We start from the raw sequence: 17,180 nt of genomic DNA, 5'->3' as shown, positions 1-17,180 counted from the left end.
GTCTACCAATCCAATGCTAGTTTAATCATACTACTCACAGTGTAATCACCACTAGAAACACAAAATTAAAGTTGCCCAAGACAGGAAGGAAACATATAGGTCCAATACTTCAATTGCTTTTTCTAGTAGTCCATAATTAACAAGCCAACCTCCCTCAATCACACACTCTAGCCAACAATGCCAGTAGAGACTAGTATAAAATCTGTACTTATTTCAACAGTATGTCTTTAAACTATCTTATAACCATTACTTAAAATAATTATAAACCTCTAAAGCCAAGTCATAATAGTCCAAATCAGATGTGACTAATTTGTTTGGATTAAAGAAGAAAAGGAAGTGATATATGTAACTTGTTTTTAATGGATACTAAAATAGACACGGCATCTAGAGAAATAACATGACAATGAGTTATGAATCATACTGGGAAATTTTTTTTTTTTTTTTTTTGAGACAGGGTCTCACTCTGTTGCCCAGGCCGGAGCACAGTGGAACAATCATGGCTCACCGTAACTCAACCTTCCAGGCTCAAGCCATCCTCCCTCCTCAGCCTCCTGAGTAGCTGGGACTACAGGCATACACCACCACACCCGGCTAATTTTGTGGTTTTTTTTTTTGTAGAGATGGGGTCTCATTATGTTGCCCAGGCTGGTTTTGAAGCTCCTGAGCTCAAGCGATCCACCTGCCTCAGCCTCCCAAAGTGCCGGGATTACAGGTGTGAACCACAGCACATGGTCTCATACTGGGAAAGTCAGTGATTCAAAGTTTAAATTTCACTTGTCACTGATTTTGTTGTTACATGATTCTTCATCCTTTACTTCTTGATTTATAATGTGTAAAACGAGGGCTAACATCTTAAGCATAAAAATATTTTATAAATATTTAATATTACTGTTAAATAACTTTCAAAAGTTTATTATGATACCTATTCAAATTACACAAAACTGATTAATTCATATGTGCTAGCTATAATTTAGCATTTACAGACATTTAAACTGAAAAGAGAAGCTGCTATTGCCTGTGCTTATCTTCACACATAACCCTCAACTTACTACGGCATTTTCTTCTTCATGATAAAATGACTAATTTGTTTCCATTTTACAATGATTAAACATCACAAAATATCCTCCAGTTTCTAAAAATGTAAAATGTTTTCGCTGATAGGCCAAAATTTATTTGTGCTTATTTAGCTCCCAAATGAGGTCATCCATAGAATTTCATATTATCATTAAATCAAATTTATAAATATAGCTTTAAATCAGAGGGGCAGTTTCATCGTTAATCAAAAATCAGACTTAACCACATATACATATTTTGATTTCAGACTGACCCTTTTAATATTTTCCATGCCAAAATGTTGGAGCTTGTTAAAGAAGTTTATCTTGGGTATGGTTTTTTTTTTTTTTTTGAGACGGAGTCCCGCTGTTTAGCCCAGGCCGGATTGCAGTGGCGCAATCTCGGCTCACTGCAAGCTCCGCCTCCCGGGTTCACCCCATTCTCCTGCCTCAGCCTCCCGAGTAGCTGGGACTACAGGCGCCCGCCACCGCGCCCGGCTAATTTTTTGTATTTTTAGTAGAGACGGGGTTTCACCGTGTTAGCCAAGATGGTCTCGATCTCCTGACCTTGTGATCCGCCCGCCTCGGCCTCCCAAAGTGCTGAGATTACAGGCGTGAGCCACCGCGCCCAGCCATGGTTTTTAAATATCTGAAATATTCAAAACATCTTAGCAGTGATTATCTAACTTACAGTACCTTCCCTACTACCTTCTTGGATATAAGACTTGCAGGGTTTTTTTGTTTCGTTTTGTTTTTGTTTTGAGACAGGTTCTCACTCTGTCTCCCAGGCTGGAGTGCAGTGGCACAATCACAGCTCACTGCAGCCTTGATCTCCTGGGCTCAAGCGATCCTCCCTCAGCCTCCCAAGAAGCTGAGACTACAGGCACGCACCACCATGCTTGGCTAATTTTTCAGATTTTTTGTAGAGATAGGGTCTCAATATGTTGCTCAGGCTGTTCTCAAACTCCTACTCTCAAGCGATCCCCCAATCTCAGCCTCCAAAAATGCTGGCATTTCAGGCAGGAGCCAACATCAGCAGTTTTTTAAAAAGGAAAATTAAAAGAATGTGGGGAAAAAAAGACTCGGAACTCTCTTTCTTGGGGAGATATTGTGACAACTAATGATTACTGCTATGAACTCCGCCAAGTTAAATACCATCACAATTAGATGGAACAAACATTCAGAACAGATAAGTTCTCCTATTTTGTTACAGAGATGAGAATTATTAGTCCCTAAGAATTCAATTAATTATGAGGATCTGAGACTTAAATCCTTCAAATGGCCACAAATTCTACTTGTGGGATTTCTTTTTTTTTTTTTTTTTTTTTTTTTTTTTTTTTTTTTGAGAGAGTCCTGCTCTGTTCCCCAGTCTGAGTGCAGTGGCCCGATCTCAGCTCAGCTCACCACAACCTCCGTCTCCCAGATTCAAGTGATTCTCCTGCCTCAGCCTCCCAAGTAGCTGGGACTACAGGCGTGCGCCACCATGCCTAGCTAATTTTTGTATTTTTAGTAGGGACAGGGTTTCACTATGTTGGCCAGGCTAGTCTCGAACTCCTGACCTCGTGATCTGCCTGCCTCGGTCTCCCTAAGTGCTGGGATTACAGGCGTGAGCCATGGCGCCCGGCCGGAATTTCTTTTTTAAACTGCAACCCAAGTCTTGCTATGTTAAGAATCCTGGCCTGGCGCGGTGGCTCACACCTCTAGTCCCAGCACTTTGGGAGGCCGAGGCGGGCAGATCAGAAGGTCAGGAGATTGAGACCATCCCGGCTAACACAGTGAAACCCCGTCTCTACTAAAAATACAAAAAAAATTAGCCAGGCATCCTGGTGGGCGCCTGTAGTCCTAGCTACTCTGGAGGCTGAGGCAGGAGAATGGTGTGAACCCGGGAGGCGGAGCTTGCAGTGAGCCGAGATCGCTCCACTGCACTCCAACCTGGGCGAAAGAGCCAGACTCCGTCTCAAAAGAAAAAAAAAAAAAAAGAATCCTGTGTTTGAAGATGATACTGCCATTTATTCTGATGTGTCCAGTGTAGTACACAACATGGAGAACACTCCTTTGATTTACCTCTGTCAGAAGGAATTATTTGCTTTTGGCTCCACTTTTAAACTTCAGAAAATAGCCTGTGCCTTTAGCAACCGTCTTTTTTTTTGTTTTTTTGTTTTTTTGTTTTTTTGAGACGGAGTTTCACTCGTTGACCAGGCTGGAGTGCAATTGCGCAATCTTGACTGACTGCAACCTCCGCCTCCCGGGTTCAAGTGACTCTCCTGCCTCAGCCTCCCCAGTAGCTGGGAGCACAGGTGCCTGCCACCAAGCCCAGCTAATTTTTTGTATTTTTAGTAGAGACAGGGTTTCACTATGTTGGCAAGGCTGGTCTCGAACCCCTGACCTCAGGCAATCCACCCACCTCAGCCTCCCAAAGTGCTGGGATTATAGGCACAAGCCACTGTGCCCACCCCGCGCCCCCACCCCCACCACGCTTTTTTTTTTTTTTTTAAAGAAAAACCACAAGATTGTTGTGAGATGGGATGATTATGACGGTAACATAGTTTTTAAATCTCCCCAAACCTACTAGATAGAGTTACTGGAAGAATACCAAATAAAGCAAAATGCCTTTGGACAACATACACAGTACAACAAAATTAGGTCATGCGAACTCCTATGTATCCCAAAATTTGAGCAGGTGAGAACAAATCTCTGAGAGCTACAATCCTGATTGGTATCGAGACCCTTACAGAAGACAGAGAGGCACAACAGATACTAATGGAACAGAGAGTATAGGAGGGTAAAATGCCCAACAAAGACTCGCTGGAAAGCACAGTAGGCCCACTTGATAATAGCACTGAAACTGGTCAGGATTTTACACACTCCCATTTGCAGATGACTCATGGTAATTCATGAATTTGTGGTAAATTCTTAAGGAGCTAGAGCTTAATGGGGCCTACAAACACTCAAAATTAAGCAGTCACAGTTCCTTTCCAGGACAAAGCCCGGTATTACAGAGAAAGGCTACGAATAAAAGTAACAACTACTACCGCAGTCAGTTGAAAAGACCCTAAGTATAAGAAAAGGTGATTCCACAAAAAAAAACGGGGAAAAGATGGAGAAAAACCCAGGAAATCTCAGGAAAAATTAGGCTCTATTTTTACCACTTCATAAACATGGCATAGGGAGAACTTTAGAGCCATAAATCTGGAAAGAGTATTCAGAACCACTCTGCCCTGCCACAAGTTTAGGGAAAGTGATTTCACGTAAGAATGACCAACAGAGAGGACTATGGCACACGCAGCAGAATGACACCCTGATGGTCAGAAATGTGCCAGAAAGACAAGCCGACAAAACAGAAGGAAGCTAGAATCTACGGTCTCAACACATGAGAAAAGACATGAAGAAAATGATATAAGGTAAACAAGCTATAAATCAGAAGAAAAAGTCAGAATTCTGAGTTAAACATTTGAAGTAAATGGAAAAAAAATCACTTCAGAAATGAAGTCTAAATTAGAGGGTACACAAAAATGAATATACACCAGATAATGTTACATAAAAAGAGGTTGCAGTGAAGGAAAAATACTAAAAATCAAAAAGAAAAAAGATGAAAAGAATTAAAAAGTACAAATACAGAAGACAGGAAAAGAAGATCCAACATACTAAGAGAGGCTCCAAACTAAATAAGGATGTGTGTAGATAAGAAAATAATAACATAATCATAACTATACATGGTATATAGAATATTTAAGATTTTCTTATTCTAATAGCTGTGTATTTAATGTTGCATAAAATAACTGACTACACGAGATTCTAAAATTTTATCACAGATGATGTCCCTGAGAACCATGATTCTCACCATGTCAGAAAGTAGATAAAGATTTTAGATAGAAGAGTTAAGTAAATAAAACCCAGTAGCCACAAAGTTCAATGGAAAATATCAGCATGAACTCAGGAGGTGTTTTTATCTTTTAAAAGTATATGCATTTCATAACTCTGTCCAAAGGCCTAGAAAGACAGACCCACCAGTAGCAACACTGAGTAGCCAGGAGGTGCTCTTAAAATACATTTTAAAACTAAAAGAAACCAGAGCACCTGGGAGAAATCAATGGTTCCAGGCCTGGGGCAGGATATGTACAAGAAGATCCTGAAACATCTTGTTCATAACAAGCAGAAAGTAGTTCAGGAGCCAGCACTGCACAGGCTCCAACTGGTCAAAGATAGCATCAATAAGGGGTATGTCGAAAATGGACTGAAATATATGAAATGTAATTAAATGCATGAATTCCAAAGGGCAATTTGTTTTTAAATCTAATTGGTTACCATTAAAGGATCCTATTTTTAAAACTGCTAAATACATAAAGAGAATGAATTATTCTACTTTTCCCATATGAACCATACCACATGGTAACCAAATAGCAGAGGATGGGAAGCTATGTCCTTATAGAAGCAGTCCAGTTAGAAAAGGAAAGATAGATTGGATGATTATCATTTGGCAGTCCTTAATGAGTTCCTGGATCTAGCGTCAATTGCTATGTACATCACAAAATGAGAAACAACTGACATCATGTGTGTCCTGATGGTAGAACATACCACTCCCAGGGAATAGTCTTGCCCCCTCCCCCAAGCCACCAGATGCAGCTATCAATCTCCATGAAATAAAAAGGACTGAGCAACAGGTTAAACTAGACTACAGGGATGCAATCAGCAAAAGCCGGACTATGGAAAAATCACAACCAATGGCCAGGTTTCTTCAATCAGTTCCAAAAAAAAAAAAAAACCAACAACAAAAAAGAAGAGAAACCTAGAGATTAAAAGAACAAAAGCAAGCACAACTAAACCATTATACAGAAGTAAACTAGAGTGTTTAGGGTGTACCAGGCTAAGAGCCAGTCACCCCAAAGCCCACAACTTTTAATGCTTGACAAAAACCGTGTAGCTTTTTTTATAATGGCGTCACTCATCAGTCAAAATAAGAAATGAAACTTAATGACTAACATGCATTCTTGACAGTAACCCTACTACAGCCTTCAGTACCTTAAGATATCTGCAAAGTTTAAAAGATTATCTTTATGTTCGGACTTGACTAAGCAGAGCGACTTGATTGAAAATGAATCTAAGGCTTGAAAAGTATTTACCTACCGAGAGTACAGAATAGGAGTATTAGGCTTTAGAGCAAAAGATCTGACTTCCTGCCATAATGCAATGCTACTTCCTAACTTACCTTAGGCAAGTTTAATAAACAAGGAAATTAATATTAGCCAAGAAGCAAAGGCACTGGCCGGGTTAGGCAATTTTCTAGACAGTTCTTTCTTGGAGCTGTCTAGCAGGGAAACAATGACAAATGTGATTAATGTTATGAAGGAAGTACAGGATGCTCTGATGTGAGCTACATAATAAAAATAAACATGGCATACCTCTCAGATGAGATGAGGAAGAGGAAACACTTGGGACCCAGTCTTAAGCACTTAACCTCTGATTCTTTCTTTTTCTTTTTCATCTTTAGATGAGACTAATAAAAACCAAGACTATCTGGTAGGTAAATAAATTTATTCATATTTAATTGTAAAACTATGGACCTTACAACATGAAGAAAAATAAGCCTTGGCATCAGTTAAGGCTATGCTGATGAAGAAAGGAGAGAAAAGAATGCTTATCAATAATACATAATGCAAAATGAGATGCAGGCAATCCTGTTAATCTCCATGTCTTTTACTACAGTTTAACATGTGTATACATGTACACACACGTGTTGTAATAATCCAACAGGTATCTGCCACCCATTACTGTGGGAGTTAATTATCTTACTCCCAGATTAGAAGGTGGTCACAATCTAACAGCAACATTCACACTGGGAGATTCTGATAGCTGCTTAGAGAAATGTCCCTAAAGCTTCTAGAGAAACATGCTACAGATGAACAAAGGTCATCTGAAAAACTGAAACGGCTGTCATGTTTACATGATTTTAATTTAAAAAGCTGAATCCAAAGAAAACCTTATTTTATTTAAACATTCTTCTCTAAGCAATTTTTATGTAAAGGATGGTTTTTTAAAAATCTCAACCATAAGAAAATACTGTTTTGTACTCTGAGTTTTTTTAAAATGTTTTACATCAACATCATTTGCATGTAGTTATCATACCCCAAATTATGTGCTTTATTTAAAAGCATAATAATTAAAATAATGTACTATTTATTTTATTCTTATTGTTCACATAGTATTATCTTTTTTTTCTTCTACTATCTTATAGGAGCAAGGAGTTGTACATAGCTTTAAAATACCACAAAGGCGAGTACAGAATTGGAGCCACATATATCCTCACCCCTTCTCTATCTCCTTTTTTCTTCCCTCTTAAGTAGCCTTTGGGTTTCTTTGTTGGTTTGTTGTGAGACAGGGGTCTCACTGTTACCCAGGTTGGAGTGCAGTGGCCTTTCCTCGGCTCACTGCAACCTCTGCCTCCCAGGCTCAAGTGATTCTCCCACCTCAGCCTCCTGAGTGGTTGGGACCACAGGTGTGCACCACCACACCAGGCTAATTTTTGTATCTTTGGCAGAGACAGGGTTTCACCATGTTGGCCAGGCTGGTCTCAAACTCCTGAGCTCAGGCGATCCACCAGCCTTGGCCTGCTGAAGTGCTGGGATTACAGGCGTGAGCCACTGAGCCCATCGTTAAGTAGCCTTTGTAATCTTCTTCACCAGCATACAGGGAAAGGACAAAAATACATGGAACTCAATATATTACTTATTAATAAAGGCCAAAAAAAGCATTTATTTAAGTGAGTTTTGTAAATTACTCCCATTCTCCATTTCTACCCATAGCATCTAAAGAATGTGAAAAGTATCAAGAAATTTTCTCTAAATTATTTTTAAAATTCCAAACACTTAAAAAAGATAAATTTAGCTTTATATCTTTAAGAATACCCAGAGAAACAAAACAAAACCAAGTTCCTAATTGAAGACTCCCTTATAATTAGCATACAACATGTAAATAGAAGCTTCATAAGGTACTTTGATTTTTTTTTTTGGTATCCTGAATCTGTCTACCCATATAAATAGCATGAGAAACTAGGGGATGGGGGTGGACAATTTTCTTCTTTAAAACTGAATGTTTATTTAACATGATTTCTAAAATACAGAAGGAAATTGTTAAAAATTCTGTTAGTGGGCTATAAAGTAGTAAGATGTTTCTTACTACACATACCATGCCTATCCTATGTTAAAATTAGTAATAAACAGTAGACTGTTTTTAGATAGCTTCGCTACATAAAAGTGATTCACTAAAGGTGTTTTTAATAAAAGAATCTCTGGCCAGGTGCAGTGGCTCACGCCTGTAAATCCCAGCACTTTGGGACGCCAAGGCGGGCGAATCACGAGGTCAGGAGTTTGAGATCAGCCTGGCCAACATGGTGAAACCCTCTCTCTACTAAAAATACAAAAAATTAGCTGGGCGTGGTGGCGGGTGCCTGTAATCCCAGCTACTTGGGAGGCTGAGGCTGGAGAATCACTTGAACCCGGGAAGCGGAGGTTGCCATGAGCTGAGATCGGGTCACCACACTCCAGCCTGGGCAACAGAATGAGACTCCGTCTCAAAATAAATAAATCAATAAATAGAGTTAAAAATTTGGTTAACTAAAAAACTATTATAAATAGTATATAGTGATATTTTCCTTATCTAATTTTTCTATGAAACTTCTAAACACAAGTTGTTTGTGTATGTTTCTGTGTTTGTTTTTCTAATAATACTCCTGCAAAGCAAAAAGTGTCTTCAGTTCTTTGTAATATATGTTGATTAGCATAACAGATAAAATTTTTTTTGGCCTTTCCCCCAAAGTCTTCTACGACATTTTACAGAGATATTTGTGTTTAAATTTACTTACTTTGTAATACGGTCAATGTTGGCAATCTGCTTCTGGTTCCGTATAATCTCAATGGCTGCCCAAAGATGCTGGATAGCTTTTGTATCCGCCTGTCGTCTTTTTGTTAAACGTGCCATGACCTGTTTACTTCTTTAGCTGCAGTAATAAACAAAAACATAAGGGAAAAAAACAGATTACAAAATGAATTATCAGTATAAGTGAGTAACATTATCAGGACCTCTCAACTATTGATTATACTTAGTATGTAGTATTGCCCACTTTCTATTTTTTTCTACCATCCACATCACCAGTTACTTCATATAAAGTATCATTCATTTCATTACATCATGAAGAATGACATTCTAAAAGCCAAAAAGTTAAAAAGGTTATCCCAGGAAGGATAAGTGGTCACTTCATACCAATATACTTTCAGAAAATGCATTTAAGTTTATTCTAAAACACAGAAATACTCCAAGATAAAACTTCATTTGTTGACATCGCGTTGTTTGTAATTTGATCAATACAAAATGGAATTTAAATATTCTAATTGGCACTTTAGTTTATTATAATCATGGCTTAAAAATCAAATTTTATATACATACATAGATATATGAAAACAATATTATTTTAAATCAAACCATGAACATTAAATATAAGAAAGTTACTCCTGGAATGAGATGTGAAAGGTTGAGGGACAGAACACTAGAAGGTCACAAATTATGAAGAATGGTAACATTCTTGGATTAGGTGTAAGTTTTGGGGGTATTTATTACACTATTAGGAAACAGCATTGTTATTTTACTCAAATTTTAGTATTCCAGATGAATTGAAGAAAACTGCCACCACACCTCCCACCTCCCAATAATTTTCCTGCTGTCTCCTGGCAAGATGGGGAAAGAAAAGAGGTTAAACCCTGGATGTCCGGAGAGCAGTGGTATCACAGAGAGGATTCTCTTAACTCAGCATGGAGAGACGTGCTTGTAGGAATCTGGTAAGCGTTTGTCATGAATCCTAGCATTGGGGACGCACTGAAACATCTCTCTAGATCATACATGTTATCATGCTGAGTTTAAAATCTAGGTTCTTAAATATACAGTGAACATTAAGCCTTCTGAGATTGCTGAAATCTCCTTGACCTGCCCTTTCCTATCTTTTAAGTTTAGAGAATGAGGGAGGGAAGCACTTTGCTGTGTTCCATGACTGGCCAAGACAGCCACAGGAATCTCCTTTTTCTCTACCTCTGTGTTTCTTCACAGCCTACTCAGTTCCCCTCCTTTCTCAGGCAAACACAAATAAACTATATAGTTGCTATCAAAACCTGAGAAAACTGGGTCAGTCAGGCTCCTAAAATAAGATGTCTTTCAGAATTACACCACCATCAGAATACATTTTGAACATGTTTAAAGGTATTCCTGAATATTCTCACACTATTACTTCTAATAGTTCCAAGCTGCTCCACAGAGCAAATAATTCAAAAACAATACCAGTATTCAAGTTCTAAAGAAAACTTTAGGAAAATCAGTTAGTTCTGTATAAATTTATACATAATGAAAATATAAAAATTATAACTTAGGAACACTTCCATTTTAGACAGTAATCACTTTTAAATGTACAAAAATTTATCTGTTTAAGTGCACTTGTGTTGGAGCACCAACTTTCAGAATCCAATATGCCTTAATGGAAGGAATTCATTGGTAAGGATTTAACATATGTCAGAAAGTGACATCTAATGGTGAACTGTAATAATACAACTCAATCCTGTGAGATTATATAAATACTCAGATAAATGAACAAAGTTTCACTCATTCTTACATAGTTAAAAATATATACAGGTGTCCACTTTATCTAAGGCACTGTGCTAGACACAATGAAGTAGTTAAAACTGTATAAACGGCGACCCTTGCCAAGAAAATAATCTAAAACTGGCAGAGGAAATTTGACATATACATGGAACTAACTGTAAGGTCATATATGACATATAAATGGTCCACAATATGTGCTATAAAAATTCAGACAAGGGAGACACTACTTCTCGCTGAGGTAAAATTTCAGCAGAAAGAGATGAGGAACTCTGCAAAATGGTAAATATGTAGGAAAATGTAAAAGCCAATTTTTCCCTTTCTTAATTTCTTTAAAAGATAATTGGCAGTTTAAAGCAAAGATAAAAATAATTGATAGATGTCATTAGGCTTATAACACACGTAGAAATAAAATATATAACAACCAAAGCACAAAGGAAGGGAAGTGGGAGTAAGCAGAAATATATTATTATAAATTTCCTATATTTTACGCAAGTAGTAGTATATTAATTCAAGGGAGGCTATTGTAAATTAAGGATGCATATTATAATTTCTAGAGCAAACACTGAAGAATAATACATATAGGTATAGGTAACAAGTCAACTTGTAAATTTTTTTTCACAATTCATGATATGTAAGAATATGAATAATTTGCTCAGAACTATAAAAAATACAGCAAAGCTGTAAAATGTAAAATGTTAAATTTAACAGCAAAGCTAACATTTTAAAATAATACCATAATAAATAGTAAATGTAACTATTTATATAACATAACCAGAAGAATGTAGTGGGGACTAAGTAGCAGAAACTCTAAAAGTGATGTCACAGATTCCCAGAAATGATTAAAATCAAGATTAAAGAATGAAGCAATGCTACATCTCAGAAAAACAGGTGTGAAGTTAAAAATCAAAGATTTTGAGAACTACCTGAATCAAGTCACAGAAAATAAACATACCTTGTAATACAGGTACACTATAAGGAGGATGATCATTAGTTATAAGAGCCCACGTAGAACATTGCAAAAAATGCCAGGGAAAGACAAATCCAAGTGAGAGAAATACAATGAAGTTTGAGGCATATTACAAAGGTACCAAAAACAACTTGACCCATGGAGGCAAGATCTCTTTAAAGTGCAACCATAAATTATCCTTTCTTATGAAATCTAAATTCATTCACTCATTTAACATATAATTCATATATGCGTGTTACACACCAGGTGCTCTTCTATGCTCTAGGGATATAGCAATAAGCAAAACGGACAAAAATCCTTCTCTCATCCAGTACATGACTAGTGATGTGACTAGATATAAGAAAAGAACAGCAATTTGAGTGTTCATCAATAAAAAGAAAGTCTTAGAATCCTGGGTACAGAGAGCTGATTACTTAAGGTCCTTGTTGATATGGCCAAACCAAATCTTACAGTCCATCCTTATCTGAGTGCACATTGCATTACTGCTCACAGTTCCCAATTATGCTCCCAAACTTCACACCTCCATCTCTTTGTTTATGCAGTTCTCTCTCCCTGGAATGTTCTCCCCTGCCCCTTACCAATTATTAAAAATTTCCCTATCCTTTCTAGGATCTACTTTAATGCAATTTTCCCTGACCAGGCTTTTCTCCTGGAATCAAACCAAATAAAACTCAATTGTCCTCTGTATTCTAATATCAATTTGTTTATACATCTCTTACAAATGTATTGCTTTTGTACAAAAGTATTTTGTACAAAATTCCTCAAAAGAATTGTTTTAATTCAACTAAGATACGTCTTATTCATTTTTATAACTCATGTTTTTCAAGGTGCCTAGCAATTTTGAACATACTAAACCTTCAATATAAAATTATTAAATTCACTTTTTTTCAGCTGTTATGTAAATAACAAGAGCCCAGAGTGAACCTTCATTTATGTTTTATCAAAGATTGAGACATCAAAAAGAAAGAACAGAAGACTCTTTGTAGAGATCATTAATACAGTCTTCAATCTTTGTTCTGCTCCAACACATTTGAGGAATATTACAGGCTCCTTTTGGTAAAAGTAGACCATGATTCTCAAGAAGCCTGTAGTTAAAAAAAAAAATAAAAAGTAGCAAAAACTTCTGAGTAACTTTAATAAGCCCCTAGGTGATACTGATATTCTCTATCCCAACAAATCCAGATGTACTGCAATCTCCTCAGTCTACAGAAGTGTCACTTTATATCCACACTACTTCTACACAAACTGGGGTGAGGGCAAAAGGGAGAATAAAGGAGAAAACACGTCAGAAAAAAACTTAAGAATAAGCAAAATTAAACAAGAAGTTGCTTGGTGATATATACATATTTGTGAAAACTGCTTTAAGGAAACGATAAACACAATAGTTAACAAGAACAGTTGAGGGTGCAGGGAAGAGAGATGGAGGAGCACAGTGTGAAAATTCAAAACACCAAATAGGTTCGATTTTTACTTCTGGTGGTAGGTTCAGGTTTTTTATCAGTATACTGCATAAAATGTTTTCAAATATTTGCATCAAATATTATTACTTTTCCCCAAAGTGTATTAGCACTTTTAAATTATTTTTCATTGTCTATTCATACCATTTTCCCATTTATATATTAATTTTTATATTAGGTTTATCCATACAATGCTTTTCTCTTTGCCTCTTAATAAACACTAAATACAATTTTACTGAAATCTAGCTATGTATTCCTTTATCATTGCTTTTGTGATCAGAAGTCCTTCTACACTCAAATCAGAAAAATACGCAATTATATTTTGTAGTTTTTTATTTTTGTTTTTTATTTTTTGAGGCGGAGTTTCGCTCTTGTCACCCAGGCTGGAGTGCAATGGTGTGATTTCGGCTCACTGCAACCTCCACCTCCCAGGTTCAAGTGATTCTCCTGCATCAGCCTCCCGTTGTAGCTAGGATTACAGGCGTGCGCCACCACAGCTGGGTAATTTTTGTATTTTTAGTAGAGATGGGGTTTCGCCATGTTGGCCAGGCTGGTCTTGAACTCCTGACCTCAGGTGATCCGCCCACCTAGGCCTCGCAAAGTGCTGGGGAGAATTACTTTTTTAAAATTATGATTAGTAAACTTTATTTTTTAGAGCAATTTTAAGTTCACAGCAAAATTGAGTGGAAAATACAGAGCTCCCACATACTCCCTGGCCCCACAAATGCACATGCACAGCCTCCCCTATTATCAACATCCCACACCAGAGCAATACATTTGTTAAAAATCAACAAACCTACACTGACATATCATTATGACCCAAGGTCCACAGTATACATTAGGGTTCACTCTTGGTGTTGTACATTCCATGGGTTCTGACCAACGTATGAATGACAAGCATGTGCCACTGTAGTGCCCATGGGTTCTGACCAACGTATGAATGACAAGCATGTGCCACTGTAGTGCCCATGGGTTCTGACCAATGTATGAATGACAAGCATGTGCCACTGTAGTGCCCATGGGTTCTGACCAATGTATGAATGACAAGCATGTGCCACTGTAGTGCCCATGGGTTCTGACCAATGTATGAATGACAAGCATGTGCCACTGTAGTGCCCGTGAGTTTTGACCAATGTATGAATGACAAGCATGTGCCACTGTAGTGCCCTTGGGTTTTGACCAATGTATGAATGACAAGCATGTGCCACTGTAGTACTCATGGGTTTTGACCAATGTATGAATGACAAGCACGTGCCACTGTAATGCCCATGGGTTTTGACTAATGTATGAATGACAAGCACGTGCCACTGTAGTACTCATGGGTTTTGACCAATGTATGAATGACAAGCATGTGCCACTGTAATGCCCATGGGTTTTGACTAATGTATGAATGACAAGCACGTGCCACTGTAGTGCACATGGGTTTTGACCAATGTATGAATGACAAGCATGTGCCACGGTAGTGCCCATACAGAATAGTTCCACTGAATTAAAAATTGTCTGTGCTCCACCTATTCATCCCTTCCTTCCCTAACCCTTGGCAACCACTGGTCTTTTTACTACTGTCTCCACAGTTTTGCCTTTTCCAAGATGTCACACAGTTGGAATCATACAGTATGTGGCCTTTTCAGGTTGGCCTCCTTCACTTAGTAATATGCATTAAGTTTCCTCCATAGCTTTTTATGGCATGATAGACTGTTACTTTTTAGTACTGAATAACATTCCACTGGCTGCATATAACACAGTTCATCCATTCACCTACTCGAGGAAAGGTTGCTTCTAAGTTTTGGCAATCAAAACAAAGCTGCTATAAACATCCATGTGCATGTTTTTATGTGCACATAAGTTTTCAATTCATAAGGGTAAATACCAAGGAGTGTAGCTGCTGGTTCGTACGGTTAGAAAATGTTCAGTTGTATAACAACCTGCCAAACTGTCTTCCCAAGTGACCGGACCATTTTGCACTTCCACCAGCAATGACTGAGCGCTTCTATTGTTCCACATCCTCATCAACATTTGGTATTGTCAGTGTTTTGGATCTGAGCCATTCTTATAAGTATGTGGTAATACCTCATTGATGTTTTAATTTTTAATTCCCTAATGATATATGATATTGAATGTATTTTCATATGTTTATGTGTCATCTGTATTTCTTTGGTGAGGTGTCCAGCCAGGTCTTTTGCCCTTAAAAAAATTTTTTTTTTAGTATTTTTGAAACAGGGTCTCACTCTGTCACCCAGTCTGAAGTGCAGTCAAAGCTAACTATAACCTCAAATTCCTGGGCTCAAGCGATCCTCCTTAGACTCTAGAGTAGCTAGGACTACAGGCATGCACCACCATGCCCTGCTCATGTTTTATTTGTTAATGTTTTGGAGAGGCAGGATTATGCTATGTTACCCAGGTTGGTCTCCAATTCTGGGCCTCAAGTGATCCTCCCACCTTTGCCCTTCTGTCCATTTCTAGAACATGTTCTTCATTTTCTTATTATTTAATGTTAGACGTTCTTTGTATGTTTTGCTTGATGGTCCTTTATCAGATGTGTCTTTTGCAAATATTTTCTCCCAGTCTGTAGCCTGTCATCACAATTTCTTGACATTATCTTTGACAGAACAAAAGTATTAAATTTTTCTTGACATTATCTTTGACAGAACAAAAGTATTAAATTTTAACGAAGTCCAGCTTATCAATTCTCTCCTTCATGGATCATGCCTTTGCTGTTGTACCTAAAATATTATCACCACACAAAAGGTAATCTAGGTTTCCTCCTATGCTATTGCCTAAGAGTTTTACAGTTTTGTATTTTACATTTAGGTCTCTGATCCATTTTCAGTTAATTTTTGTGAGGGATGTAAGGTCTTTGCCTAGATGATTCTTCTTTTTTTTTTTTTCTGAAAGTGGATGTCCATTTGTTCCAGCACCATTTCCTCAAGGGCTATTTTTTGCTCCAATGTATTGCCTCTGCTCCTTGGTAAAAGTTGAACTGACTGTATTTATGTGAGTATTTCTGGGTTCTCTATTCTGTTCCATCCATCTATTTGTCCTGTCACCAATGCCACATTGTCTTGGTCACTAAAGTTTACAGTAAGTCTTTAAGTCAGGTAGTATCAGTCCTCAGACTTTGTCCTTCAATAGTATGATGACTATTTTGGGTATTTTGTCTCTGCATATAAACTTTAGAATCAGTTTGTTGATATCCATGAAATAACTTGCTGGGATTCTGATTGAGACTACATGAATCCATACATAAAAGTGGGAAGAATGGACATCTTGACAATATTGTTTTCCTATCCATGAACATGGAATATCTCATCATTTATTTAATCTTTTATCTCTATCATCAGAGCTCTGCAGTCTTCCTGATATACATCTTGTCCACAATTTATTAGATTTCTACCTAAGCATTTCATTTCGGGGGTACTAATGTAAATGATAATATGCTTTCAATTTCACATTACACTTGTTCATTGCTGATAAATAGGAAAGTGATAGATTTTTGTATATTACCCTCATATCCTGCAACTTGGCTACAACCACTTAGTAGTTCCAGGGTGTTTTTGTTAATTCTTTTGGATTTGCTATATAAATGATCATGTCATCTGTCAACAAAGACAGTTTTATTTCTTTTTTCCCAATCTATTTGCTTCTTATTTCTGTTTATTATCTTATTGCATTAGCTAGTACTGCAGTTTGAATGTTTTCGTTTCTCCAAAATTCACGTGGGAAATTAAACCCCAAGGTGACGGCATTACGAGGTGAAGACTTTGGGAGGTGATTGGGCCATGGGGGCTCTGCCCTCATGAATGGGATTAATGCCCTTATAAAAGAGGCTTCAGAGACGTGCCTGGCCATTCCATCTCTTCTGCCATGTGAGGACACAGCAATAAAGTATCATCTTGGAAGCAGAGTAACCCTTACCAGACACTGAATCTGCTGATGGTTTTGATCTTGGACTTCCCAGCATGCAGAACTGTGAGAAATAAACTTCTGTTATTTATAAATTACCCAGTCTGTGGTATTTTGTTACAGCAGCAGGAATAGAGTAAGACAGCTAGGACTTCCTATATG

At 37.6% G+C, this 17,180-nt stretch overlaps 1 protein-coding gene across 38 annotated transcripts in view; it reads right to left on the bottom strand.

Annotated features, from left to right (window-relative positions):
* Positions 1-17,180, bottom strand: part of ZMYND11 (zinc finger MYND-type containing 11) — a 124,550-nt gene that overhangs the window by 65,599 nt on the left and 41,771 nt on the right. For 33 of the 38 annotated variants that reach the window (NR_163254.2, NM_001370103.2, NM_001370104.2 and 30 more), the window contains one exon: positions 8,911-9,045. The exons of the other annotated variants lie outside the window; for them this stretch is intronic. Coding sequence is in view for 28 of the 33 variants with exons in the window: in NM_001370103.2 (NP_001357032.1) it covers positions 8,911-9,026 (116 nt within the window). In the remaining 5 variants the exon portion in view is untranslated. Of the gene's footprint in view, positions 1-8,910; positions 9,046-17,180 lie in introns of those variants that run through there. 38 annotated transcript variants of the gene reach the window in all.

Source organism: Homo sapiens, chromosome 10, assembly GCF_000001405.40.
Source record: "Homo sapiens chromosome 10, GRCh38.p14 Primary Assembly".
Taxonomy (NCBI): Eukaryota; Metazoa; Chordata; class Mammalia; order Primates; family Hominidae; genus Homo; species Homo sapiens.
This window is presented reverse-complemented; position numbering and strand designations above follow the sequence as displayed.